Raw genomic sequence first — 27,672 nt, 5'->3', positions numbered from 1 at the left:
ACTAGCACCTAGTAAACAGGCCATATAACACCTAACCCATTTCAGTTATTTTCTGAAGGAAGCTTTTGAGTTTAGCCTTAAACTCTGGTCAATGTTTACAAATTTGCTCCTCTGGGAAAGTGTGTTCTGAGCTCCATTAAAAAGTGACTTAGCTTGCCAAACAATGTTTATATTTTGGGGATTGTTCTTCTAGTTTTCCTTGTATCCTTAGCAGATATGGGTACATCTTTTTAGTTATACATACACACATATTAATTAATTAACTAATTAATTCTTTCTTTCTTTCATTCACCAAACATGTCCTCAAAGCCCACTATCTACAAAACACTGTGCTAAGAATTCTGGCACATGCCACTAAATCATCTGTATTGATAAGAACAATCAACACTGAGATCATACAAAGGTTTCTGGATATAGCAAAATTATTGCTCACTTTTACTGGGTCATAGTTTCAGAAATATAACTGCTCTAATCCTCCTCTGCAATCAACCTAATAAACACATGGGATATAATTTCTAAACTAAAATGACCTCAATATCTCATTAAACAAATAGGTTTTTGTGGAGAATTTATTATGTGTCAGATATTGTGTTAAGCATTGGGGATATAATAAATCAAGATATATTTGCCCTCAAAGAGCTCTCAATCTGGATGGGTGGGGCGGAGAGGAAGATGAATATATATATTAAATATAATATAATGTGCTTATTGTGATATAACGAATATTTAAACCATATGCTAAGGGAACACAGAGAAAGGAATGACTAATTCTTCCAGAGGGGAAAAGTCAATTTTAAAAAGGAAGGTTGGATTTGAACTGATCCTTGAGAGATAAATAGCAGATTTTTATCAGGAGCAGAAGTTGGGAAAACAGAATGAAGAAGGGCGCAGGAATGACTACTTTAAGTTCAGGGGCACATGCGCAAACCTGACACAGACATTATTTTGTATGGAAAATAAAACCTGATTATGTATAATATATTTATGTAAGAATAATTTCTTTTTTTAACTCTTATTTTAAGTTCAGAGGTACATGTACAGGTTTGTAACACAGGCAAACTGTGTCATGGGGGTTTATTTTACAGATTACTTCATCACCCAGATATTAAGCCTAGTACCCGTTAGTTATTTTTTCCTCCTCCTCCCACCTTTTACCATCCAATAGGCCCTGGTGTGTCTTTCCCTTCAGTGTGTCCCTGTGTTCTCATCATTTAGCTCCTGCTTATAAATAAGAGCATGCGGTATTTGATTTTCTGTTCTGTGTTAGTTTGCTAATGATAATGGCCTCCAGCTCCATCCATGTCCCTGAAAATAACATGATCTCATTCTTTTTTATGGCTGCATAGTATTCCTTGGTGTATATGTACCACATTTTCTCTCTTTCTTTCTTTTTTTTTTTTTTTTAACACAGTTTCACTCTGTCACCCAGGCTGGAGTGCAGTGGCACAATCTCAGCCCACTGCAACCTCCGCCTCCCGGATTCAAGAGATTCTTGTGTCTCAGCCTCCCGAGTAGCTGGGATTACAGGCACATGCCACCTTGCCCAGCTAATTTTTGTATATTTAGTAGAGACGGGGTTTCACCATGTTGGCCAGGCTGGTCTCGAACTCCTGACCTCAAGTGATCTGCCTGCCTCGGCCTCCCACATTTTCTTTATCCAGTATATCACTGATGGGCATTTAGATTGATTCCACATCTTTGCTATTGTGAATAGTGCTGCAATGAACATACATGTGCATGTGTCTTTATACTAGAGAAATTTATATTCCTTTGGGTATACACTCAATAATGGGATTGCTGGGTTGAACAATATTTCTATGGCTGGAACACTAAAATACAGGGCAGGAACATTGAAACATGGAGGGGAGTAGGAGCTGGAGATGAGCCTGAAAAGTCAGATTTTATCCTGCATGGTTCAGAAGCAGAAAAAGGTTTTTAAATTTAAAAAGTGATGAGATTATATTCAATGCAAGTTTTTAAGCACCTCCAAAGTATCATGCATGGATCTAGGTACTGGTGTTAGGGATACAAAGATGAATAAGATATGCTCTCTGCTCTCAAAGCCCCACTTCAGACAGATAAGTCAATCAACTTTGTGGAGGACATAGTAGGGAGAGGCTGAATGTAGGGGATGAGTAAGAGACCATTGCAAAAGTGTCAACTAGACCATATGCTGGCATAACAAAAAAGGGTATGGTGTAGTCAAAATGGCAATGGCAAGAAAGTGAGATAGACTTTAGTTCAAATTCCAGATCTGCCATTGGTAACTGATGACTTCTGGGGCAAGTTATTCAATTCTTTGAGTTTCAGTTTGCTTGTATGTAAATGATTATCATAATACATATATTTTCAGAGTTGTTGTGAAGATTAGAAAAAAATATTCTAAACTATGCCTCATACTTAGCTCAGTACATTTTCATGATTATTATTAATAAAAGAGAACACAGATTTATCAGACATTCAAGAATAAATAAAAGTAAGACTTAGTGGTTGACTGGAGAATGAAGGAAAGGGTGGAATTAAGTGTGAGTCAGATTTCTAGAGTGGGTAACTGGTCATCTGACCCAGTTTCCTACCTCTGTCTAGTCTAAATCTGTACTCTAAGAAAGCTGGTATTCTTCTCTGGAGGATCTGTTTAAAATGTGTTTTCCCATAAAGTCCAATACATTTCCAATTATATTCTCCAACTGAAATATTAATTATATAACAGCAGGCAGAATGAAATCAAATATGAATTCTCTTCAAGATTTTTAGTGGTTAATTTAAGTCCAAAGTTTCATCAATTCAACTTGATCTTTACATAAGAATAAGTCAGGAGGCTGGGCACAGTGGCTCATGCCTGTAATCCCAGCACTCTGGGAGGCCGAGGTGGGTGGATCACAAGGTCAGGAGTTAGAGATCAGCCTGGTCAATATGATGAAACCCCATCTCTACTAAAAATACAAAATTAGCTGGGCATGGTGGTGCATGCCTGTAATCCCAGCTACTCGGGAGGCTGAGGCAGGAGAATTGCTTGAACCTGGGAGGCAGAGGTTGCGGTGGGCTGAGATTGCACCATTGCGCTCCAGCCTCAAAAACTCTGTCTCAAAAAAAAAAAAAAAAAAAAAAAAAAGGCCAGAAAATATCCTATGCCTTTTCAATAAAGGACCCTAAGAAAAGACAGGGTGACTAGCTCAATGCAATAATGACTCTGAAAGCCCAGCTAAATGTAGAACATACTCTTAAATGTCTAGATGAAAAGAGACATTATTTAGGAGGATTATTATTGTTTTTTTAACCTTTAGGCTTTTCGTAACAGGCCTGAACAGAAAGACTTAAAATATTTCGGAAGATTCTTTTCCCAATGAATAAGTGGTGCTGATTCCTATAATAATTTATTTTATGAATTTCTATTACAACATTCATAGGTGTGAAAATTCATTGTATGCATTATATTTTATTATAGTAGTGTTGGCTAAAATACCACAGTGTTCATAGACAGGAAATGACCAAAAATAACCCAGCTTCACTGCATGCATCCAATGTAAGCAAAAAAAAAACATTACACCAAGTACTTTCCAATTTCTGCCAGAGAAAAGAAACCTGCAATATGTCATTTTACTGTAGAGCTGTCCCAAGTACAGTGAATAGTGAAATCATTAGTGGGATATAGCAAAGTTTTAGAGAATTTCTTCCCTTTTTGTGTCTATAATTTTTTCATAGAGACTTGTTTCCAGGCATTTAGTTACACGCCCCCCCCATAAGCCAAAGGTTATAGACATTGTAACCCAAGAAATATCCACTTTTTTGGCATTATGAAATACTAAAGACTATAAATATAAATGATTATTAAAAATGGAAAACCCTATGCAGTATTAAAAAACAAATCGAAACACTAGGTAAGAAACTTTGCGGCCCTCTGACTAGCTTTTTATGTTCAGAAATAGTTAAATTGTATCATTCAGGGTCCCAAATGATAAAATTTAATTATCTTTTTGAAGACTTACAGAAAATGTAGAAATATAACCTCTAATGTTTAAAATTCTTCACTTTGTACTTTCAGATAAAAATAGCAGATAGACAGCCGGGCACGGTGGCTCACGCCTGTAATCCCAGCACTTTGGGAGGCCGAGGTGGGCGGATCACAAGGTCAGGAGATTGAGACCATCCTGGCTAACAAGGTGAAACCCTGTCTCTACTAAAAATACAAAAAATTAACCGGGCGTGGTGGCGGGCACCTGTAGTCCCAGCTACTCAGGAGGCTGAGGCAGGAGAATGGTGTGAACCTGGGAGGCAGAGGTTGCAGTGAGCCGAGATTGTGCCACTGCACTCCAGCCTGGGGGACAGAGCGTGAGACTCCGTCTCACAAAAAAAAAAATAGCAGATAGACTAAGCACATGTGTTTAAAAGCTCTCCCTCCAAGACCCCATTGAAGAATAGTAAAGTAATGAAAAAGACATAAACCCACAACAACAACAAGTGCAGTAGGGGAAGACTATTGGCAGCAGGAGATTTCAGAAAATTTCTGGAAGCTAGAAAGAAAAAGTGTTAAGTGATGAAGAAGGATAAAAAAGGGCTGTGTTCTCAAATATGCACTGGAAATAAGAAAAAGATGGCAGCCAAATTGCTCAGTGGAACTCTGGAAAGCAACTAACAGTAAGTATGATGGAGGATGGGAATGAGAAGTGAGACTGAACACAGGGGCATTAATTGAAGATCTGCAAAAGGTCTCTCCCACCTACTTCTCTCACTGCCAACAAAAGTCTCACAGAGTGGCATTGCAGTTCAATGAGAAAGGAAAGAACACTCAATAAATAGCACTAGGGTAACTGATTATTCCTATGGAAGGAAAACCCCTCCCCACCCAAATCAGAACTTAACCTCAAATATAAAAATCAATTACAGGTATAATAAAAATTTAAATAAAAAAGGCCAAATGTTAAAACTTTAGGAAGACAAAATGGGAGAATGTTTTTAAAATCTCAATGTGGTAAAGGACTTGTTTTCCTAAACACAATCTAAGTGGGTAAACCATAAAGGAACAGGTATATATTTTTGTGTCTTCAGTATATAAATAGTATTTAAAGTCAAAGGCATGTACGAGACTGCCTAGGAGGAAAGCAGAGAGTGTAAACAGAGCCCAGGACCAAAATCCGAAGAACTCTACCATCGAGAGGTTGAGAGGACAGAAATACTTGAAGATATGAGAAAGACACATAATACAAGAAAAAAATCAAAGGCTACTAATAATATGATATAAAATAATAAACTATAAAGAATGGCCCAAAAGCAAATGATGAGTCTAAATTAGATCACGGAGACAGGCTTCAAAAAGAGTAGATTCTAGAAGTCAGAAATGTAGAAACAGCAGTAAATTTCTTTGTTCAATTTTTTAAAAAGGCAATCAGAAACTCCAGAAAAAAACAAACTATATATGAAAGGCATGGCTCAAATATGGGGCAAACTAAAATGTGGCATGGGTTTGGACAACTTTTAAGGTATAATGAAGAGGGGTCCATTTGAATTTGATGCTATGACTATTCTTGGAGTGGCTTAGGAAGCGGAAAAGGAGACAAACATAGCTTAATTCTTTACTGTAAAGTAAAAAATTGTTATATTATAGAGACTTAAATACTGTTTACCAGTTTTCAAGTTTTAAATCCTACCAACTGACAAAGTTTTATGATTATAGAACAGATATAAATGACATTAATCTTGAAATTTAAAAGTATAACTCATAGAATAAAGCCAAATTGGAATCCCAAAGAGAGAGCAAAAATGCTAGAGTAGGGAACTCCGAAACACTCCATCCCTCCACAAAAGCAACAAATATGCTAGGAACAAAAAAACCCCAAAAACAAAATCAACTTTTTCAGAAATCTGGAATCTAATAAATTACAAAACCAGGGAAACACTTAATGAAGAAAAGAAAAACTGCTGAATTTCAATAAGAGAGTTCTGAAGCATCTTAACTTACCCTGTTACCATTCCCCACTCCCCAGCTTGGTGGTGGCCTTGAAGTTGAACAGCCCACATTCCTGGTGCAGATTGCTGGCAACAGAGGAAGCAATGCAGACCATATTCTCAAAAAGTTGTAGTTGTGTGTTTTGACATGTTTGGTGGCTCTCTGAAGGATTAGCTCAAGGGCTTGCCTTTGTATCACTTGCCCTGGAGCTTCCCTAGGGCTGAGGTGGCTTCTAAGTGGCATTTGTTGAAAGTAGTTAAAGGCAAAAATGTATTAGCTGCCACCACATTGGACAAAGGATAGTAGCTGCAGCAAGCAACAGACAGACCAAAAAGGCTGAGAAGGAAGAGGCTAGGGAAAGAGATGTCTGGGAGAATAGAGTTTTGAGAAGCTCCTGTGAGTCCAGGGAATCTAAAAGGCCACATATATGTCCAGGGTCAGACACATGTTTGGAAAAGACCTGAGAAGACACTAACCTTAACCCTAACCCTAACCCCTGGCTGATCTTCAGGTTCCACACAAGCAGGAATGAAGGTTAAGGCAGAGTGGTAAACTGCCTAGATAAGCAGTGAAAGAGTGCCTCAAAACAGAACCAATCGATAGAGTCTGGGAGAGGTTTATTTTTTCCTTTTTTCTCCAGGCATTTAAGAAAATCTCTGAAAATCACTAACTGACCACTAAGCTAAAAGAACAGAGATTTCAGTGGGTACACATGCTAAATAATACAGTCTTCACAGAAATAATTAGGAAAGTCATTAAAAAAATAGAAGACAACAATCAAAACAAGCAGCAACAACAAACCCTAGGGGGGAAGAATGATCTGATCTCCAGAGTTGTCACATAAATGTCCAGTTTCAACAAAAAATATGATGCATACAAAGAAACAAGAAAGACTAACCCACTCACAGGAAAAACAGAAATGAACAGAAACTGTCCCTGAGGAAGCCCAGGCATTGGACTTACTAGACAAAAACTTTTAAGTCAACTATTTTAAATATGCTGAAATAACTAAGGAAAACCAGGAGAATGATGTCTCACCAAATAAAGAATATCAATAAAGAAATGGAAATTAAAAAGGAATCAAATAGAAATTCTGGAGTTGAAAAGTACAATAACTGAAAAGCTCTCTAGAGGGTTTCAACAGCAGATTTTAGCAGGCAGAAGAAAGAATCAGTAAACTTAGATAGGTCAATTAAATTATGTAGTCTGAGGAGTGAGGTTAAATAAAGAATAAAGATAAATGAACAGAACCAGGAAAACTGTGGGACACTATCCAGCATACCAATATAAACATAATGGGAGTTTCGGAAGCACAGACATGAGAGAAAAAAAAAAGCAGAAAGAATATTTGAAAAAACAATGGCCAGAAACTTCCCAAATTTGATAAAAGACATAAAACAACATATCCAAGAGGCTCAATGAACTCTGACTAGGATAAACTCATAGATCCACACCAAGACACATTATAATCAAACTACTGAAAGACAAAAATAAAGAGACAATCTTGAAAGTAGTGAGAGAGAAGTTACTCATAATGGACAAGGGATCCTCACTAAGAAAAACAGCTGATTTCTCATCAGAAATCATGGAGACCACAAAGTAGTGGATGATATATTTAAAGTGCTGAAAGAAAAAAAAAACCTGTCAACCCAAAATTATATATGGCAAAACTGGACTTCACAAATAAGAGATAAATTAAGACATTCCCTGATAAACAAAAGCTGAGGGAATTTATTACTAGTATACCTGACCTACAGGAAATGCTAAAGGAAATTCTCTGGAAATTAAAGAACACTAGTTGGTAACTTGAAGTCATACGAAGAAATAACATCAAGAAAGGTAATTACACAGGTGCATAATAAAAGCCAGTATTACTGAATTTTTAAGGTGGTAATTCCTCTTTTTAATATATGATTTAGAAGAAAAATGTATAAAATTAATTATAAATCTATAATGTGCACACAATGTTTAAAGACGTAATTTCTGAAAATAGTAACAGAAAAGGGAGTAGAGTTAAACAGAAGCAAAGTTCTTATATACTATTACAACTAGGTTGGTATTAATTCTAACTAGCTAAATTAAAATGTTAATTGTAATCCCCAGGGTAACAACTAAGAAAATAGCTAGAAAATGTATGGTAAAAGGAACAAGAAAGGGATCAAAAACGGTACACTAAGAAAATCAGTTAAATACAAAAGAAGAAAGCAATAAAAGAATTGAGGAGCCAAAAAAGGATATACAACAGATAGAAAGCAAGTAACAAAATGGTAGATGTGTGTCCTTCCTTATCAGGACTTCAAAGATTAAACTACCCAAATTAAAAGGCAGAAATTAGCAGAAAGGATTTTCTTTTTTTCAAGATGGAGTCATGCTCTGTCGCCCAGGCTGGAGTGCAATGGCACAATCTTGGCTCACTGCAACCTCCACCTCCTGGGTTCAAGTGATTCTCCTGCCTCAGCCTCCTGAGTAGCTGGCATTACAGGCATGCACCACCACGCTTGGCTAATTTTCATATTTTTAGTAGAGACGGGGTTTCGCCATGTTGGCCAGGATGGTCTCAAACTCTTGACCTCAGGTTATCCACCCGCCTCAGCCTCCCAAAGTGCTAGGATTACAGGTGTGAACCACCACTCCCAGCCAGGATTTTTTTTTTAAAGCTCCAAGTATATGCTTTCTACAGGATTAAAAGACACAAATAGAATGAAATGGAAAGAATAGAAACAGATATTCCATGCAAACAGTAACCAAAAGAGAGCCAGAGTAGCTACTAATATTACGTTAAATAGATTTTATATCAAATATTTTTATGAGAGTCAAGGAAGAACATTTTATATTGAAAAATTGGTTAATCCATAAGGAAGGTACAACAATTATAAAGGTATATGCACTTAACATCTAAAATACATGAAGCAAAATGGACAAAGTTGAAAGAAGAAACAGTTCTACAATAATAGTTGGAGACTTCAATACCCTACCTTCAATAATGGATAGAACAACCAGACAGAAGATCAGCAAGTAAAGAGGACTTGAAGTACACTATAAAACCAACTAGCAGACATATATAGAAAACCCCACCCAGCAACAGAATACATATTCTTCTCAAGTACGCATGGAAAATTCTCTGGGATAGACCATATGTTCAGCCATAAAGCAAGTCTCAATCAATCTAAAAAGATTAAATTCTACAAAATGTCTTCTCTGACCACAATGAACAAATCTGGTAAATTCACAAATTAAACACTGCAGTCTTAAACAAACACTGGAAAAAGAAGAAATCACAAGGGAAATTACAAAAGTGTAGCTGATAGAAGTTGCAATGTACAAAGTGGGAAAAATAAAAAGGATAGACTCATCTTGCAAATGCAGACTTGAGGCCTATTGCCTATAGTGGATGAAACAAAAAAACAGAGATTTAGATACACATTACAAAAGCTACCAATAAAGCAACTATAGATATATAGTTTTGGGAGGAAAAGAGGTGAGGGAGCTGAATCTTCATCTATTTTAGCAAGTAGTATATCTAAATCTTACAAATTTAAAAAACTGCATAATATACATTTAAAGATTTGGTAGAGAAGGAGCCAGTAAGATACCACTTAAAAAAAAGAGAGAGTAGCCACATACATAAAAGGAAAATCAGGTGAATGAGGAGTTTCAACTACGTCAAATGCTGTAAGGAGGTCAAGTAAAATAAGGACTTAAAATTCAAGAAGCCAAACTGAATGCACTGGTTAAGAGTTCCTTGTTTAGATAAAATGCAAGGTATAAAAAGTTCTTTTAGAAATATCTCTAAATTTCAGTTCTAGGAGATTTTAAAGGAATCAGATAACTACAAAATAAACTGAAGAAAAATCTACAACCAGTAGAAGTTATAAGTAACTGATTTTGCATTATAATCTCTACCAGTTATATACTATTTATCCCTAAAATTTTATTTTTCTACCTTCATATATAAATATCTTCTGTGGCTACTCAACTTGCTAGTTTTCCGGTCATTAAAAAAAGAATCAAACTAAGAGAATGTAATAGTGTTTCCATGACACTTTAAACATACATTTGTAGAAAGTAAATCTTTTGCCAGAAATTGTGGATCCCTTTCCTAATTATTCATCATTACTTTTTACATCCTCTCCATTGAACCCCCCACATCACTTCTCCCATCTCTCCCAAACTCTTTCTCTATGCTCCCTTCTTAAAAGCTAACGACTTTGTGGAACTCCTAATAAAAATTCTGAAACTCTTGGCAGTAAGCATAAGGCACAACAATTTTCACTAACAGATACTTCCTCTTTCTCTTGGAACAGCTTGCTTGTTTTGAGACCATAAAGACGCTATGATTTTAAGTTATTTTAGAGGGTCATAAAATGTTTGGCCATATGCCACTTTAAAAGTTCAAAATGTCATGAAAGTCACGTTAATAGTCTGCAATCCACTGATCAGAGGTAGTTTTGCCAGATAAAAGAGTCATTTAATAAAAAAGATACTCCTGCATTCACTGAAGCTGCCAAAACTAGTAAAACTTATACAGTGAATAGCCCTATCACAAGAGAACAGGATGTACGGCCTCTGGTAGCATACCTTGTTCTACCATCAGTAACTTCAATATCTATAATAATGGCTTCAACGGATCTCTCTTCTGGTGACCTTTTGCTTTTACTCTTTTCCAACAATCCACTCTGATAACCACAACAATGGCTTCCATATTGCTTAGATTTCATTACTTAAATGTGTTCTACCTCTAAAATATTTAACCTCAAAAACTTACTTTGACCATAAATTCCCACTATTCCAGCTCATTATTAATGCTCTTACTTTATATGCTCCTCATTTGCAACTTTAATTAGACTTACAGTCCCAGAAACAAAATTTTCTTCCAATCTGTTGCAAACCTTCTGGTTTTTAATTCTTTAAAAATCTCGCCTAGACTATCTGACCCATCATTTCTATCTTTTCCTTTGTCATCACACTTGAATTTTTTAATTCCTTGCCTTTGATCCCTTGTCTCTTTGTTCTTTTTCAGACATTTAGCTTCTCTTCTGTTATACTTAGCTACTCTGCGATCTTGGAATAAACTCACTCAACCATTCAGGCTAAAGTTGCTATAATTTCATGGTCTCTAACCTCATTTAGTTCCTCAGAATTTTCCTTCAATCTTTCAACATTTTCCCAGTTAGCTCCCTCTGGATATCAAACGAGACCTGTTTCTTAAAGTGACGTTACTGTCATAACAATGTTAATTCTTCTGAAATTAATAAGTAAACTTAAATGTGATTTGAACAAGATTCTCATCATTTCTTTTCTATTTAGGTAAACTGATTTTAAAGTTCACATGAGGCTGGGCACAGTGGCTCATGCCTGTAATCCCAGCACTTTGGGAGGTCAAGGCAGGCAGATCACTTGAGCCTAAGAGTTCAAGACCAGCCTGGGCAACATGGCAAAACTCCATCTCTACAAAAAATACAAAAATTAGCTGGACATAGAGGTGTGCACCTATTGTCCAAGCTATTTGGAAGGCTGAGGTGGGAGGACTGCTCAAGCCTGGGAGGCGGAGGTTGCAGTGAGCCGAGATCATGCCACCGCACTTCAGCCTGGGAGACAGAGTGAGGCCCTGTCTCAATAAATAAATAAATAAATAAATAAATAAAGCTCATATGGAAGAATAGGTGTGTGACAATTGAAACTTGAAAAGAACAGTGGAAACCTATTTCCCCTACAAGTTGTGAAAACTTACTACAAAATTACTATAATCAAAAGAGTCTGGTGTTGGCATTAAAACAGATAAGTGAAATGGATAGTCCAGAAATATGTGCACATATTTACAAAATCTTAACATGAGATAAAGATGGCATTCTCATGAAAAAAGAAGTTTAATTTTTAAAAGGTTATTAGCAAATTGACTAGTCAATTGAAATAAAATCAAGTTAGACCCTTATCTAACATTGTGTATAAAAATAAGTTTGAGGCCATGTGCGGTGGCTCAAGCCTGTAATCCTAGCAGTTTGGGAAGCCGAGGCAGGAGGATCACTTGAGATCAGGAGTTCGAGACCAGCCTGGCCAACATGGTGAAACCCTGCCTCTTTTAAAAATACAAAAATTAGCCAGGTGTGGTGGTGGGCACCTGGAAAATCCCAGCTACTCAAGAGGCTGAGGCAGGAGCATCACTTGAACCTGGGAGGCAAAGGTTGCCGTGAGCCAACATCGCACCACTGCCCTCCAGCCTGGGAGACACAGCGAGACTCCATCTCCAAAAGAAGAAAGAAAAAAATTTGACGGATTGAAGGACTAACTTCTAAAACCTTATTATAATTTTAGAATATTAAATTCCATATTACTTGGATAAACTTGAAACTGAAAAATAATTTTTAAAAAAGAAATTAGAAATAGAACTGACCTGTATTATTTCATAAATCTAAAGCCCAATGCTATAAAGTTTTAACATTATAAAGTATTATAGTTCTAACCAAGTAAAATTATATTTTGCCATTTAAATAATATTAAATATAGCTCTAGGGCTATATAAGAGTGGTATATTAGTTACATAAATTGTCACTTCATTAGAATTTTTATTCTTGACACTAGGCCAGGCAGTTCCAAGATGGTCGAATAGGAACAGCTCCAGTCTACAGCTCCCAGCGTGAGTGCAGAAGACAGGTGATTTCTGCATTTCCAACTGAGGTACTGGGTTCATCTTACTGGGGCTTGTTGGACAGTGGGTGCAGGACAGTGAGTGCAGCCCACCAAGCGTGAGCCAAAGCAGGGTGAGGCATCACCTCACCTGGGAAGGGCAAAGGGTCAGGGAATTCCCTTTCCTAGCCAAGGGAAGCTGTGACAGACGGCACCTGGAAAATCAGGTCACTCCCACCCTAATACAGCACTTTTCCAACGGTCTTAACAAATGGCACACCAGGAGATTATATCCCGCACATGGCTAGGAGGGTTCCTACGTCCACAGAGCCTCGCTCATTGCTAGCATGGCAGTCTGAGATCTAACTGCAAGGTGGCAGCGAGGCTTGCGGAGGGGCACCCACCATTGCTGAGGCTTGAGTAGGTAAACAAAGCAGCCAGCAAGCTCGAGCTGGGTGGAACCCACCGCAGCTCAAGGAGGCCTGCCTGCCTCTGTAGACTCCACCTCTGCAGGCAGGGCATAGCTGAACAAAATGCGGCAGAAACCTCTGCAGACTTAAATGTCCCTGTCTGACAGCTTTGAAGAGTAGAGGTTCTCCCAGTATGGAGTTTGAGATCTGAGAACAGACAGACTGCCTCCTTAAGTGGGTCCCTGACCCCCGAGTAGCCTAACTGGGAGGCACCCCCGAGTAGGGGCAGACTGACACCTCACACAGCCAGGTACCCCTCTGAGACGAAACCTCCAGAGGAACAATCAGACAGCAACATTTTCTGTTGAGCAATATTCGCTGTTCTGCAGCCTCTGCTGCTGATACCCAGGCAAACAAGGTCTGGAGTGGACATTTGCTGTTCAGCAATATTTGCTGTTCTGCAGCCTCTGCTGCTGATACCTGGGCAAACAAGGTCTGGAGTGGACCTCCAGCAAACTCCAACAGACCTACAGCTGAGGGTCCTGACTGTTAGAAGGAAAACTAACAAACGGAAAGGACATCCACACCAAAACCCCATCTGTACGTCACCATCATCAAAGACCAAAGTTGGATAAAACCACAAAGATGGGGAAAAAACAGAGCAGAAAAGCTGAAAATTCTAAAAATCAGAGCGCCTCTCCCCCTCCAAAGGAACGCAGCTCCTCGCCAGCAACGGAACAAAGCTGGACGGAGAATGACTGACGAGTTGAGAGAAGAAGGCTTCAGACGATCAAACTTCTCCGAGCTAATGGAGGAAGTTCGAACCCATTGCAAACAAGCTAAAAACCTTGAGAAAAGATTAGACAAATAGCTAACTAGAATAACCAGTGTAGAGAAGTCCTTAAATGACCTGATGGAGCTGAAAACCATGGCACGGGAACTATGTGATGAATGCACAAGCTTCAGCAGCCAATTCAATCAACTGGAAGCAAGGGTATCAGTGATTGAATTTTTATTCTTGATTTATTTTTGTAGCTGAAAGAGCTGACAAGGTCTACATGTGGATCCCAAGTGAGCTGAAGGAAATACACTGATATAAGTTAATTCTATAACTAAAATTTAAAAAGCATATTTGCCTAAATATATGTTAGACTCTAACTACAGACAATTTCCAAAACATTATTCTCATGTCACTCAAATTACTTCCTTTACTATATATTTTTTGCATATGAAAGGCTTAAAGAATTCCAGCTAAAAACCTGAAGTAAAAGCTATATTATATTTAGTTTTAAAAGGTGTTTCAGAGTTTAGTTAAGGTAATAAGACACATATGCTTCATCAAATTAAACAAAACTAAAATGTATTCTATCTTTGATTTTTAGGCTTTATTTTAAAATTATGTAAATATAGTCAGCCCTCAGTATCAGTGGGTTCTGCATCCATAGATTAAACCAAATGGATCAAAAATATCCGAAAAAAATTCCACAAAGTTCCAAAAGCAAAACTTGAACTTGCCACATGCTGAGTACTATACCAAATCCATGCAAATGGAGTGATGTGTAGGCACTGTATTAAATACTATTTAAGTAATCCAGAGATGATTTCAAGTATATGGCAGGAAGAATATAGGTTATATGCAAATACTATCCCATTTTATATAAGGGAATTGAGTATCTGCAGATTTGGGTATTTGCAGGGAACCAATCCCCTGTGGATACTGAGGGACAGCTGTACAAATATATATTTAAATTATACATGCACTATAAAGATATAAATGCTTTATGTCCCTCTGAATTTACTTGATTCCAATATGCTTTTCTAAGAGGAAGAGAAACATGTGGAGTCTAGATAATGCATTCAGCATTGCTCATAAACCTAGGGATATATTATCATGTGATAAATGTATCATAGAAGAAAAGAGGTTGTGAGCCACTGGAATAGACAGATAGTATAGATCACAGCTGGAGTAACTTTCAGATTATATGCCCAATTGCTTACTACCAGTAGTTAAAGAGGAAGGTTTTGTGCTGGCTGCTGAGGACACAGCAGGAGTCAAGTCAATCAAGCAGGATTCCTTTCCTCATGAAGCTTACATTCTAATGGGGAAGACACACATGAAACAACTACCTACCAACTTGGAGTTAGGGAAGGCTTTTTTGGAACATGTGAAGTTTAAACTTCAGACCTCTGTGGGTTTGCTGAAGTTAGCTAGGGCGGGATCAGAGAAATAGTGCAGGGAAGTGATTGGTGTTAGGGCAGAAAAACACTATCCCTATAAGAAAGGTTCTGGCTGGAGCCAAGATGGCCGAATAGGAACAGCTCCGGTCTACAGCTCCCAGCGTGAGTGACGCAGAAGACGGGTGATTTCTGCATTTCCATCTGAGGTACTGGGTTCATCTCACTAGGGAGTGCCAGACAGTGGGCGCAGGACAGTGGGTGCAGCGCACCATGCATGAGCCGAAGCAGGGTGAGGCATTGCCTCACTTGGGAAGTGCAAGGGGTCAGGGAGTTCCCTTTCCTAGTCAAAGAAAGCGGTGACAGATGGCACCTGGAAAATTGGGTCACTCCCACCCCAATACTGTGCTTTTCCGATGGGCTTAAAAAACGGCGCACCAGGAGATTATATCCCGCACCTGGCTCGGAGGGTCCTATGCCCACGGAGTCTCACTGATTGCTAGCACAGCAGTCTGAGATCAAACTGCAAGGCAGCAGCGAGGCTGGGGGAGGGGAGCCTGCCATTGCCCAGGCTTGCTTAGGTAAACACAGCAGCCAGGAAGCTCCAACTGAGTGGAGCCCACCACAGCTCAAGGAGGCCTGCCTGCCTCTGTAGGCTCCACCTCTGGGGGCAGGGCACAGACAAACAAAAAGACAGCAGTAACCTCCGCAGACTTAAATGTCCCTATCTGACAGCTTTGAAGACAGCAGTGGTTCTCCCAGCACGCAGCTGGAGATCTGAGAACGGGCAGACTGCCTCCTCAAGTGGGTCCCTGACCCCTGACCCCCGAGCAGCCTAACTGGGAGGCACCCCCCAGTAGGGGCAGAATGACACCTCACACAGCCGGGTACTCCTCTGAGACAAAACTTCAAGAGGAACGATCAGACAGCAGCATTCGCGGTTCACAAAAATCCGCTGTTCTGCCGCCACCGCTGCTGGTACCCAGGCAAACAGGGTCTGGAGTGGGCCTCTAGCAAACTCCAACAAACCTGCAGCTGAGGGTCCTGTCTGTTAGAAGGAAAACTAACAAACAGAAAGGACATCCACACCAAAAACCCATCTGTACATCACCATCATCAAAGACCAAAAGTAGACAAAACCACAAAGATGGGGAAAAAACAGAGCAGAAAAACTGGAAACTCTAAAAAGCAGAGCGCCTCTCCTCCTCCAAAGTAACACAGCTCCTCACCAGCAATGGAACAAAGCTGGACGGAGAATGACTTTGACGAGTTGAAAGAAGAAGGCTTCAGATGATCAAACTACTCCGAGCTACAGGAGGAAATTCAAACCAAAGGCAAAGAAGTTGAAAACTGAAAAAAATTTAGACGAATGTATAACTAGAATAACCAATACAGAGAAGTGCTGAAAGGAGCTGATGGAGCTGAAAGCCAAGGCTCGAGAACTACGTGAAGAATGCAGAAGCCTCAGGAGCCGATGCGATCAACTGGAAGAAAGGATATCAGTGATGGAAGATGAAATGAATGAAATGAAGCAAGAAGGGAAGTTTAGAAAAAAAAGAATAGAAACGAACAAAGCCTCCAAGAACTATGGGACTATATGAAAAGACCAAATCTACGTCTGATTGGTGTACCTGAAAGTGATGGGGAGAATGGAACCAAGTTGGAAAACACTCTGCAGGATATTATCCAGGAGAACTTTCCCAATCCAGCAAGGCAGGCCAACATTCAGATTCAGGAAATACAGAGAATGCCACAAAGATACTCCTCGAGAAGAGCAACTCCAAGACACATAATTGTTAGATTCACCAAAGTTGAAATGAAGGAAAAAATGTTAAGCACAGCCAGAGAGAAAGGTCAGGTTACCCACAAAGGGAAGCCCATCAGACTAACAGCAGATCTCTCAGCAGAAACTCTACAAGCCAGAAGAGAGTGGGGGTCAATATTCAACATTCTTAAAGAAAAGAATTTTCAACCCAGAATTTCATATACAGCCAAACTAAGCTTCATAAGTGAAGGAGAAATAAAATACTTTACAGACAAGCAAATGCTGAGAGATTTTGTCACCACCAGGCCTGCCCTAAAAGAGCTCCTGAAGGAAGCACTAAACATGGAAAGGAACAACCGGTACCAGCCACTGCAAAATCATGCCAAATTGTAAAGGCCATCGAGACTAGGAAGAAACTGCATCAACTAATGAGCAAAATAACCAGCTAACATCATAATGACAGGATCAAATTCACACATAACAATATTAACTTTAAATGTAAATGGACTAAATGCTCCAATTAAAAGACACAGACTGGCAAACTGGATAAAGAGTCAAGACCCATCAGTGTGCTGTATTCAGGAAACCCATCTCACATGCAGAGACACACATAGGCTCAAAATAAAAAGATGGAGGAAGATCTACCAAGCAAATAGAAAACAAAAAAAGGCAGGGGTTGCAATCCTAGTCTCTGATAAAACAGACTTTAAACCAACAAAGATCAAAAGAGACAAAGAAGGCCATTACATAATGGTAAAGGGATCAATTCAACAAGAAGAGCTAACTATCCTAAATATATATGCACCCAATACAGGAGCACCCAGATTCATAAAGCAAGTCCTGAGTGACCTACAAAGAGACTTAGACTCCCACACAATAATAATGGGAGACTTTAACACCCCACTGTCAACATTAGACAGATCAATGAGACAGAAAGTTAACAAGGATACCCAGGAATTGAACTCAGCTCTGCACCAAGCAGACCTAATAGACATCTACAGAACTCTCCACCCCAAATCAACAGAATATACATTTTTTTCAGCACCACACCACACCTATTCCAAAATTGACCACATAGTTGGAAGTAAAGCTCTCCTCAGCAAATGTAAAAGATCAGAAATTATAACAAACTATCTCTCAGACCACAGTGCAATCAAACTAGAACTCAGGATGAAGAAACTCACTCAAAACCGCTCAACTACATGGAAACTGAACAACCTGCTCCTGATTGACTACTAGGTACATAACAAAATGAAGGCAGAAATAAAGATGTTCTTTGAAACCAACGAGAACAAAGACACAACATACCAGAATCGCTGGGACACATTCAAAGCAGTGTGTAGAGGGAAACTTATAGCACTAAATGCCCACAAGAGAAAGCAGGAAAGATCCAAAATTGACACCCTAACATCACAATTAAAAGAACTAGAAAAGCAAGAGAAAACACATTCAAAAGCTAGTAGAAGGCAAGAAATAACTAAAATCAGAGCAGAACTGAAGGAAATAGAGACACAAAAAACCCTTCAAAAAATTAATGAATCCAGGAGCTGGTTTTTTGAAAGGATCAACAAAATTGATAGACCGCTAGCAAGACTAATAAAGAAGAAAAGAGAGAAGAATCAAATAGACGCAATAAAAAATGATAAAGGGGATATCACCACCGATCCCACAGAAATACAAATTGCCATCAGAGAATACTACAAACACCTCTATGCAAATAAACTAGAAAATCTAGAAGAAATGGATAAATTCCTCGACACATACACCCTCCCAAGATTAAACCAGGAAGAAGTTGACTCTCTGAATAGACCAATAACAGGAGCTGAAATTGTGGCAATAATCAATAGCTTACCAACCAAAAAGAGTCCAGGACCAGATGGATTCACAGCCGAATTCTACCAGAGGTACAAGGAAGAAATGGTACCATTCCTTCTGAAACTATTCCAATCAATAGAAAAAGAGGGAATCCTCCCTAACTCATTTTATGAGGTCAGCATCATCCTGATACCAAAGCCGGGTAGAGACACAACCAAAAAAGAGAATTTTAGACCAATATCCTTGATGAACATTGATGCAAAAATCCTCAATAAAATACTGGCAAACCGAATCCAGCAGCACATCAAAAAGCTTATCCACCATGATCAAGTGGGCTTCATCCCTGGGATGCAAGGATGGCTCAATATACGCAAATCAATAAATGTAATCCAGCATATAAACAGAACCAAAGACAAAAACCACATGATTATCTCAATAGATGCAGAAAAGGCCTTTGACAAAATTCAACAGCCCTTCATGCTAAAAACTCTCAATAAATTAGGTATTGATGAGACGTATCTCAAAATAATAAGAGCTATCTATGACAATCCCACAGCCAATATCAGACTGAATGGGCAAAAACTGGAAGCATTCCCTTTGAAAACTGGCACAAGACAGGGATGCCCTCTCTCACCACTCCTATTCAACACAGTGTTGGAAGTTCTGGCCAGGGCAATTAGGCAGGAGAAGGAAATAAAGGGTATTCAATTAGGAAAAGAGGAAGTCAAATTGTCCCTGTTTGTAGATGACATGATTGTATATCTAGAAAACCCCAATGTCTCAGCCCAAAATCTCCTTAAGCTGATAAGCAACTTCAGCAATGTCTCAGGATACAAAATCAATGTGCAAAAATCACAAGCATTCTTATACACCAATAACAGACAAACAGAGAGCCAAATCATGAGTGAACTCCCATTCACAATTGCTTCAAAGAGAATAAAATACCTAGGAATCCAACTTACAAGGGATGTGAAGGACCTCTTCAAGGAGAACTACAAACCACTGCTCAATGAAATAAAAGAGGATACAAACAAATAGAAGAACATTCCATGCTCATGGGTAGGAAGAATCAATATCATGAAAATGGCCATACTGCTCAAGGTAATTTATAGATTCAATGCCATCCCCATCAAGCTACCAATGACTTTCTTCACAGAATTGGAAAAAACTACTTTAAAGTTCATATGGAACCAAAAAAGAGCCCACATCGCCAAGTCAATCCTAAGCCAAAAGAACAAAGCTGGAGGCATCACGCTACCTGACTTCAAACTATACTACAAGGAAGGCTACAATAACCAAAACAGCATGATACTGGTACCAAAACAGAGATATAGATCAATGGAACAGAACAGAGCCCTCAGAAATAACGCCGCATATCTACAACTATCTGATCTTTGACAAACCTGAGAAAAACAAGCAATGGGGAAAGGATTCCCTATTTAATAAATGGTGCTGGGAAAACTGGCTAGCCATATGTAGAAAGCTGAAACTGGATCCCTTCCTTACACCTTATACAAAAATTAATTCAAGATGGATTAAAGACTTAAATGTTAGACCTAAAACCATAAAAACCCTAGAAGAAAACCTAGGCATTACCATTCAGGACATAGGCATGGGCAAGGACTTTATGTCTAAAACACCAAAAGCAATGGCAACAAAAGCCAAAATTGACAAATGGGATCTAATTGAACTCAAGAGCTTCTGCACAGCAAAAGAAACTACCATCAGAGTGAACAGGCAACTTACAAAATGGGAGAAAATTTTCCCAACCTACTCATGTGACAAAGGGCTAATATCCAGAATCGACAATGAACTCAAACACATTTACAAGAAAAAAACAAACAACCCCATCAAAAAGTGGGCGAAGGACATGAACAGACACTTCTGAAGAGGACATTTATGCAGCCAAAAAAACACATGAAAAAATGCTCATCATCACTGGCCATCAGAGAAATGCAAATCAAAACCACAATGAGATACCATCTCACACCAGTTAGAATGGCAATCATTAAAAAGTCAGGAAACAACAGGTGCTGGAGAGGATGTGGAGAAATAGGAACACTTTTACACTGTTGGTGGGACGGTAAACTAGTTCAACCATTGTGGAAGTCAGTGTGGCGATTCCTCAGGGATCTAGAACTAGAAATACCATTTGACCCAGCCATCCCATTACTGGGTATACACCCAAAGGACTATAAATCATGCTGCTATAAAGACACATGCACACGTATGTTTATTGCGGCACTATTCACAATAGCAAAGACTTGGAACCAACCCAAATGTCCAACAATGATAGACTGGATTAAGAAAATGTGGCACATATACACCATGGAATACTATGCAGCCATAAAAAATGATGAGTTCATGTCCTTTGTAGGGACATGGATGAAATTGGAAATCATCATTCTCAGTAAACTATCGCAAGAACAGAAAACCAAACACCGCGTATTCTCACTCATAGGTGGGAACTGAACAATGAGAACACATGGACACAGGAAGGGGAACATCACACTCTGGGGACTGTTGTGGGGTGGGGGGAGGGGGGAGGGATAGCTTTAGGAGATATACCTAATGCTAAATGACGAGTTAATTGGTGCAGCACACCAGCATGGCACATGTATACATATGTAACTAACCTGCACATTGTGCACATGTACCCTAAAACTTAAAGTATAATAATAATAGTAATAATAATAAAAAAGAAATGTTCTGAAGTAGGAAGTAACTGAACTGAAAGACAGACAGTGATGCTGCAATAGCAGAAGAACATGGTTGATGGCATGAGATAAAAGAGATGAAGTGGGCAAAAGACATCATAGACTATATTAAGAAATCTAGACTTTTCCCTATAAAAAATATGAAATGCCCTATGAAGCATGTTTTAATTTGGAGAATGTTATAGTAAGATTTATATTTTCAACTTTTCCATCTTAATTTCTAATTTCAGCAAGTTTTCTTAAGAAAACCCTTTTAAAATAATTATATGTAAAATGGTTTCTAATTCCCACTCCAAATTCAATTATCAAAGATGCTTGTATCTTGAAAAAATACCATTGCATACCCTGTTTCCTCTGGGAATGCAGAGAGGGTGCTTCCATCAATCTGACAGGGGTCCTGAGGAGAGTCAGAATCTTTTCTATCTTCATTTGTAGCAATATTGGCTACTCGTTGTTGTTGCAAGTCCCACTGTCGAGCTACGTTGTTAATTGTTAACCTTTTCTTCTCCTATGAAAAAGTTAATTGTGACAAAAGTTATATAATGCAATTTTTGTAGCAGAAGTGACATCTAAGGGGCATATTGTTTGTGCCTTCTTATAATACTTTTAAAAGGAGCCTGTTCCTTTTAAGTAGATACCCAATACATTCTAAAACAAGATTCAAGAGGCCTGTATTTACTCTCTGCATCCAAAAATCTCAATAATTATCTAACTCTAAAGGAAAAAAATGCAAACAATTATTGCTCTTTAGGAACTTAATTTTATTAAAAATAAATATACAACCAACTAGAGATTAAAAATTCAAAATCTGAAGTTTTAATTTCACATAAATTTTTACATACTTAATGTTATCTGAAGTTTTAAACAGAAATTTATATGCCTCTAACACAGTAAGAAAAAACTAATGATATTTTAGTTTTTCTACTCAATAATTAAGACTGGTAAGGTGAAATAATCTTGGAGGGGGGGAAGGGAAGGAGTTGATCAATGTTCCAAGTTTCTCAGAATAAATTATACTGTCTGAAATTTAAAAATTATTCTCTAGACTATTAAAAGAAATTGTACTAGGTTGAAATGTCTCTAGATAACTAGTACCATTCCAGATGAGTAGGAAAGAAATTAATTCATTATAAGCAACGGATGTCTTAAGGTAGTGGTTCTCAAATTTCAGGGTACCTCAAATCACCTGGAGCTTATAACAGATTGCTGATTTAGAGTTTTGGGCATAGGGTTTGAGAATTTGAATTCTCCTAAGTATTCTAATATTGCTAGTTCATGAACCTCACTTTGAGAACCACTGACTTCCAGCATTGGAGCTCAGTCATCTCATAGAAACCCTCTTGTGAAAAAGCAGATCTAGACTACTGAAAGAAATTGTGCTAAATTGAAACGTTTCTATTCAATTTATATATATTAATAGAAAAAAAAATCCCTATTCTGGTAAAGTTTCCATTATCAAAAGATAATATTTAATTACAGCTTGTCAATTAGATCAGAATGCTGAAAACAGACACTTTCCTTTTCCTCTTTACTAAGACTACAATCCTGCATTGAAAAATCAGCTGAGTGTGATACTGACCCCTCTTCACCTGCTGGCCCTGAAGCCACAGAAGGCTAGTAGGAAGATTCTCTGTCCACTCCTTCAGTACATGTAGAATAATTCTTTTTAGTTGTACCTCTTTGCATATGTTTGCATAATTTTTGGTTATCTAAGATTTTAGCATGTATGCATGGCATTAGATAGGAATAAAAAGTGATATGGCTTGCTTAATTAAAACTAAAGTTTTAAAAGTTCTATTTCTGTTTTAAACATGTTTTCTGGGGGAGTGCAGTGGTGCACACTTGAAATCTCAACTACTTGGGAGGCTAATGCAGGAGGACTGCTTGAACCCAGGAGTTGAAAGCTGTAGTGTGCTACAGTCACACCTGTGAACTGCATTCCAGCCTGGGCAACACAGCAAGACCCCATCTCTAAAAAAAATGTTTTGGGCCTGGCTTTCTTTTTTTCTGTTGTTTGGTGTTTCAAAATTTTGTGTACAATTCAGTGGGTTATATTTAATATGTATATACTTTGGAGACTTTCTGACATTCTATGTATGTGCTCCTTATATAAAGCAAGTAGAAATCTGCAATTCCTATTGTAAAAACATTTTTTCCCCATTCTATAATAAAAATGCTTCTTACCTTAAGGAATTCTATTTAAGTTACTTGCTGATGACTATGCCAACCCAATTTGTAATCTAAGCAACTCTGTTTTTTTTACTCAGTATCAAGGCCACTTTGAAAGAGGCCAGGGCAGTGAGTTAATGGCTGATGGTTCTCAGTTGGCTTCATGCTTTTGGATTTCTGGCTGGCAGGGGTAGGCGAAAGAAATACTCAGAATGACATAGATAAAGCAGTGCTTAGAAAAAGGGCATAAAATATCTTTAGACCACTGAGTATGTTAAATTTATAATAAGATAATCTTTGAAAATGCAAACGTTTTCCTATATTAGTGCAAAAGTTAAGCTTCTTTAATTTGGGTTATTAAAATCAGATCATTACCAGGTTGACTAAGAGAATGATTAATTTTACTGGGGCCCGGAAAAGGGAAGACATATTTTAAGACAGGAGTATAGCCTGTCTTAATGTCAGGTGGGGATTAATGGCTGGCCAGGAGGACACATAAGGGCTCTATGCATCTGTGGAGGAAAAAAAAAAAAAAAAAAAAGAAGAAGCAAAAGAAAGGTTAGAGAATGCTAGAGATTCTGCAAGGCATAAGGGGGTACCCAAAGTAAAGTGTAAAGATCACAGAAGCATTTGGGATATCAGCGACAATTATGTTTCTAATAGCTAGGTGCCAATAAATGGCCAAGTCTGTGCTAAAGTGACAAATATTTTAGAAGGTGCCAAATTCCAGTTTCTGCCATTTGAGTCTACTTTTCATAGTCCAGGCAAGACCATACCAGTATATGCCATAAGTTTCACTTTCCTTCACTTCTAAGGTTACAAGGAAAATAAAAAAAATAGAAAAGCAACAAGGCAGAAGACAGTATCTATACACTCTTCCTGTAACCAATCCATTCCATTTTCTTTTTTTTATTTTTTAGCATTCTTTTTTTTTTTAAATTATACTTTAAGTTCTAGGATACATATGCAGAACGTGCAGGTTTGTTACATAGGTATACATGTGCCATGGTGGTTTGCTGCACCCATCAACCCGTCATCTACATTAGGTATTTCTCCTAATGCTATCCGTCCCCTAGCCCCCCCACCCTCCAACAGGCCCCGGTGTGTGATGTTCCCCTCCCTGTGTCCATGTGTTCTCATTGTTCAACTCCCACTCATGAGTAAGAACATGCAGTGTTTGGTTTTCTGTTCCTGTGTTAGTTTGCTGAGAATGTCCATCCCATTTTCTTAATGATCAATATGTAGAGTTGCACGAGCAATCCTCAGCAAATGCTGAGGGTCTGTTGTATCATGATTCCAAATCTGAGCTAGGGCTAGAACCTGGGTCTCCTGATTCCCCATGCTTTTCCTCTTACTAAAAATAAAAATACTAAGTAAACCTCGTAACTAAAGAGTCCTATTTAGTGACATTTTGTTTTGTCTCACTGTATTTTCCAAGCTGGACTTAATTCCTGGGCTCAAGCAATCCTCTACCTTAGCCTCCCAAGTAGTTAAGACTTCAGGTACATACCACCTTGCCTGGCTAGTCATTTTTTTGAATTCTGAGTGCCACTTTAATTTTAAAAAGAAAAGCATCTATATAGAACATGAATGAGTAATGATAATCAGGGTGATGTCCTTAATTTTAGAACACAGCATGATGCATATTATGAACTATAAACTTAAAGCTGCCTTTACTTATACTTTGCAATGTTAATATAAAATATTTAAAAGAGAATATTTTATTTAAGGAAATTAATATCTGCTAAATCATTTAAAACCAGTTTAAAACAAATTTTCATTCCTAAGTTCCACAAAATCTTTATCACTTCTATATCATAAACTTTTTAAATTTAAAAAGCTATCATTAAAAAAAAAAAACGTAGCAGAGCTCATTAAAATATATCAGTAAAGATGACAGTCAATTACAGTACGTTCCAAAAGGAAGTGAATAGGCCATGGGATACACAAGATGATGCACTGGTATGAAATAAAAGTGTTATAACTTCAATTATATTTATTTATCATCTCTTCCTTTTAAAACTAGCCTTTGCATTTATTTTATAATGTATATCATATTTTATTTCTTAAGTACAGGTTTATTTATAGGTAATAACTTGTAAAAGTTTTAGGGGTACGTACATTCTGTTGATAGGAACAAAAAACTTACAAAGTTTAGAAACCACTTTTCCAGTAGACTAGCTAGCTGGCTTTGGGGTATGTGTGTCTACGTGTGCACACACATCCATGTAGACATCAGAGAAAATACCTTAAGCAAAGATTGTTTATGACTTTCCCGCTTCTTCTCTTCCTCTTTTTTGGCTAAAACAGATGCCATACGCCTTTCTTCTTCCTAAAAGACATTTTCCGAAAAGTATTATGAAGAGTTTAACCATTTTTTAATGCTAAATATCATTGGTCCTATTAAGCACAGTTTTCTTCTTGAGAGGCATAGTATTTACTAGCAGAAAATATACTCTCAAAGAAAAATTTAGTATGTTTCTCTTTATTTTCTTCTTTCCTCTTAATGCTAAAAATCTGTGCATTCCTAACTCTATTCCCAACTCTGGAGGTGACGTGAACCTAGCTCATACAAGAAAGAAAAAAGAATGAGAAGAAAAGGAGAAGTATGTTTGCATCATTTTCCTTTTGTACGCTGTGCATCATGGTTCCACATAGGTTTAAACTTTCTATCATCAAGGTAAGAAGGATAAAAGTGATACATCTAACAATGTTGACTGGATCTGTGATAGAAAATCAGAACTTTTTGATGAAAAAACCAGGGTAAATATCTTTTAAAACTCCAATTATATTAATAAATTACTCCCCATTAATATAATTACTTTTGGTTTGTTTTTAAATTGTGTTGCCCAGTCTCATTTTTTAAATTCTAAAAGCTATGAAATATAGCATGATGACCGTAGTTAATAATCTTGTATTGTAATCTTGGCATTTGCTAAGAGAATAGATCTTATATGTTCTAACTACAAAAAAAAAAAGATAATCAGGTGAAGTGATAGAAATATTAACTAACTTGATTGTGGTAATCATTTTATCATACACATCAAATCACCACACTGTACACCTTAATTTTATATAGTTTCATCAATCATACCTCAACAAAGCTGGAAAAAGTAGAAATGACAAAATAACCTTACAAACAGTTTAGAAAAATGCTTAAAAATCAGTCATAATCCCAAACACCTAACTCAAATCTTACAATTTCTGTGTATCAGTTTATAATATTCACTATGAGCAATTTTTTTAAAGGTTATAATCTATATACACAATCTGGACAATTTTTCCCCCGAAGACTGTCAGATTTTAATAAATTATAACCACGTAACTTTTAATTTTCATTACCAAAAGATTTGTAGATACTCAAAATAATACGATAATTTGAGAAAACAATTTATTCATAAAAGACAAGCTTGAAAACATCTTCAGAGACAGGAAACCATAACAAGTAACTTAGCAGATTTGAAGAATAACTCTTTTAGAAACAAAAAATTATAAGAATTGAAATTTAAAATTCAACAAAGGGAGATTTAATAGCAGATTATACACAGCTGAAGAGAGAATCAGTCAACTGGAAAATAGAGGATGAGAATGTTTTCTATATGTTTTAGTATCACCCTACATACTTCTCTATCATAGCACTTAACCTGTTTCATTTTAATTTTTTCTGGTGCTATCCCTCTTGCCTCCCACGCCATAAAATAAGCTCTATGAATGTATGAACCATGTCTGTTCAGTAATTTATTAAAACCGAAACTGCTGTATCAAATGGTAGACATATTTCTATCCTTTTGATATGTCTGCAAACTGCCCTCCATAAATGCAGTTCTAATTTATACTCCTACCAGATTTCAACATTTGATTTAAAACCTGATGGTTATTCATAAAAGCTGTTCACCAAATATTCTTGTGTCTTTGCATATCCAAGACACATTGTGAGATAGCACTTCTAGCCCCCTTGAGGTTAGATGTGGCCATGTGACTTGCTTTGGCCAATGTCATATGGACAAAAGTGACATGTATTTACTTCTGGTTGAAAACTTTCAAAGACAATGT

At 37.6% G+C, this 27,672-nt stretch overlaps 1 protein-coding gene across 5 annotated transcripts in view, besides 2 other annotated features; it reads right to left on the bottom strand.

The window, feature by feature from the left end:
• LRRC49 (leucine rich repeat containing 49) overlaps positions 1 to 27,672 on the bottom strand; it is a 200,281-nt gene that overhangs the window by 47,607 nt on the left and 125,002 nt on the right. For all 5 annotated transcript variants that reach the window (NM_001284357.2, NM_001199017.3, NM_001363732.2 and 2 more), the window contains 2 exons: positions 25,868 to 25,951; positions 21,795 to 21,958 (listed from right to left, as the gene is read on the bottom strand). In NM_001284357.2, coding sequence (NP_001271286.1) covers positions 21,795 to 21,958; positions 25,868 to 25,951 — 248 coding nt within the window. The remainder of the gene's footprint in view (positions 1 to 21,794; positions 21,959 to 25,867; positions 25,952 to 27,672) is intronic.
• Positions 15,440 to 15,940: an enhancer, noted in NCBI's record as "H3K4me1 hESC enhancer chr15:71282451-71282951 (GRCh37/hg19 assembly coordinates)". NCBI's record gives its function as "activates a minimal SCP1, AML or CMV promoter by ChIP-STARR-seq in naive H9 embryonic stem cells {active_cell/tissue: H9 hESC(naive)}" and the evidence as "EXISTENCE:reporter gene assay evidence [ECO:0000049][PMID:30033119]".
• Positions 15,941 to 16,441: an enhancer, noted in NCBI's record as "H3K4me1 hESC enhancer chr15:71281950-71282450 (GRCh37/hg19 assembly coordinates)". NCBI's record gives its function as "activates a minimal SCP1, AML or CMV promoter by ChIP-STARR-seq in naive H9 embryonic stem cells {active_cell/tissue: H9 hESC(naive)}" and the evidence as "EXISTENCE:reporter gene assay evidence [ECO:0000049][PMID:30033119]".

Source organism: Homo sapiens, chromosome 15 (assembly GCF_000001405.40).
Source record: "Homo sapiens chromosome 15, GRCh38.p14 Primary Assembly".
Classification (NCBI taxonomy): Eukaryota; Metazoa; Chordata; class Mammalia; order Primates; family Hominidae; genus Homo; species Homo sapiens.
This window is presented reverse-complemented; position numbering and strand designations above follow the sequence as displayed.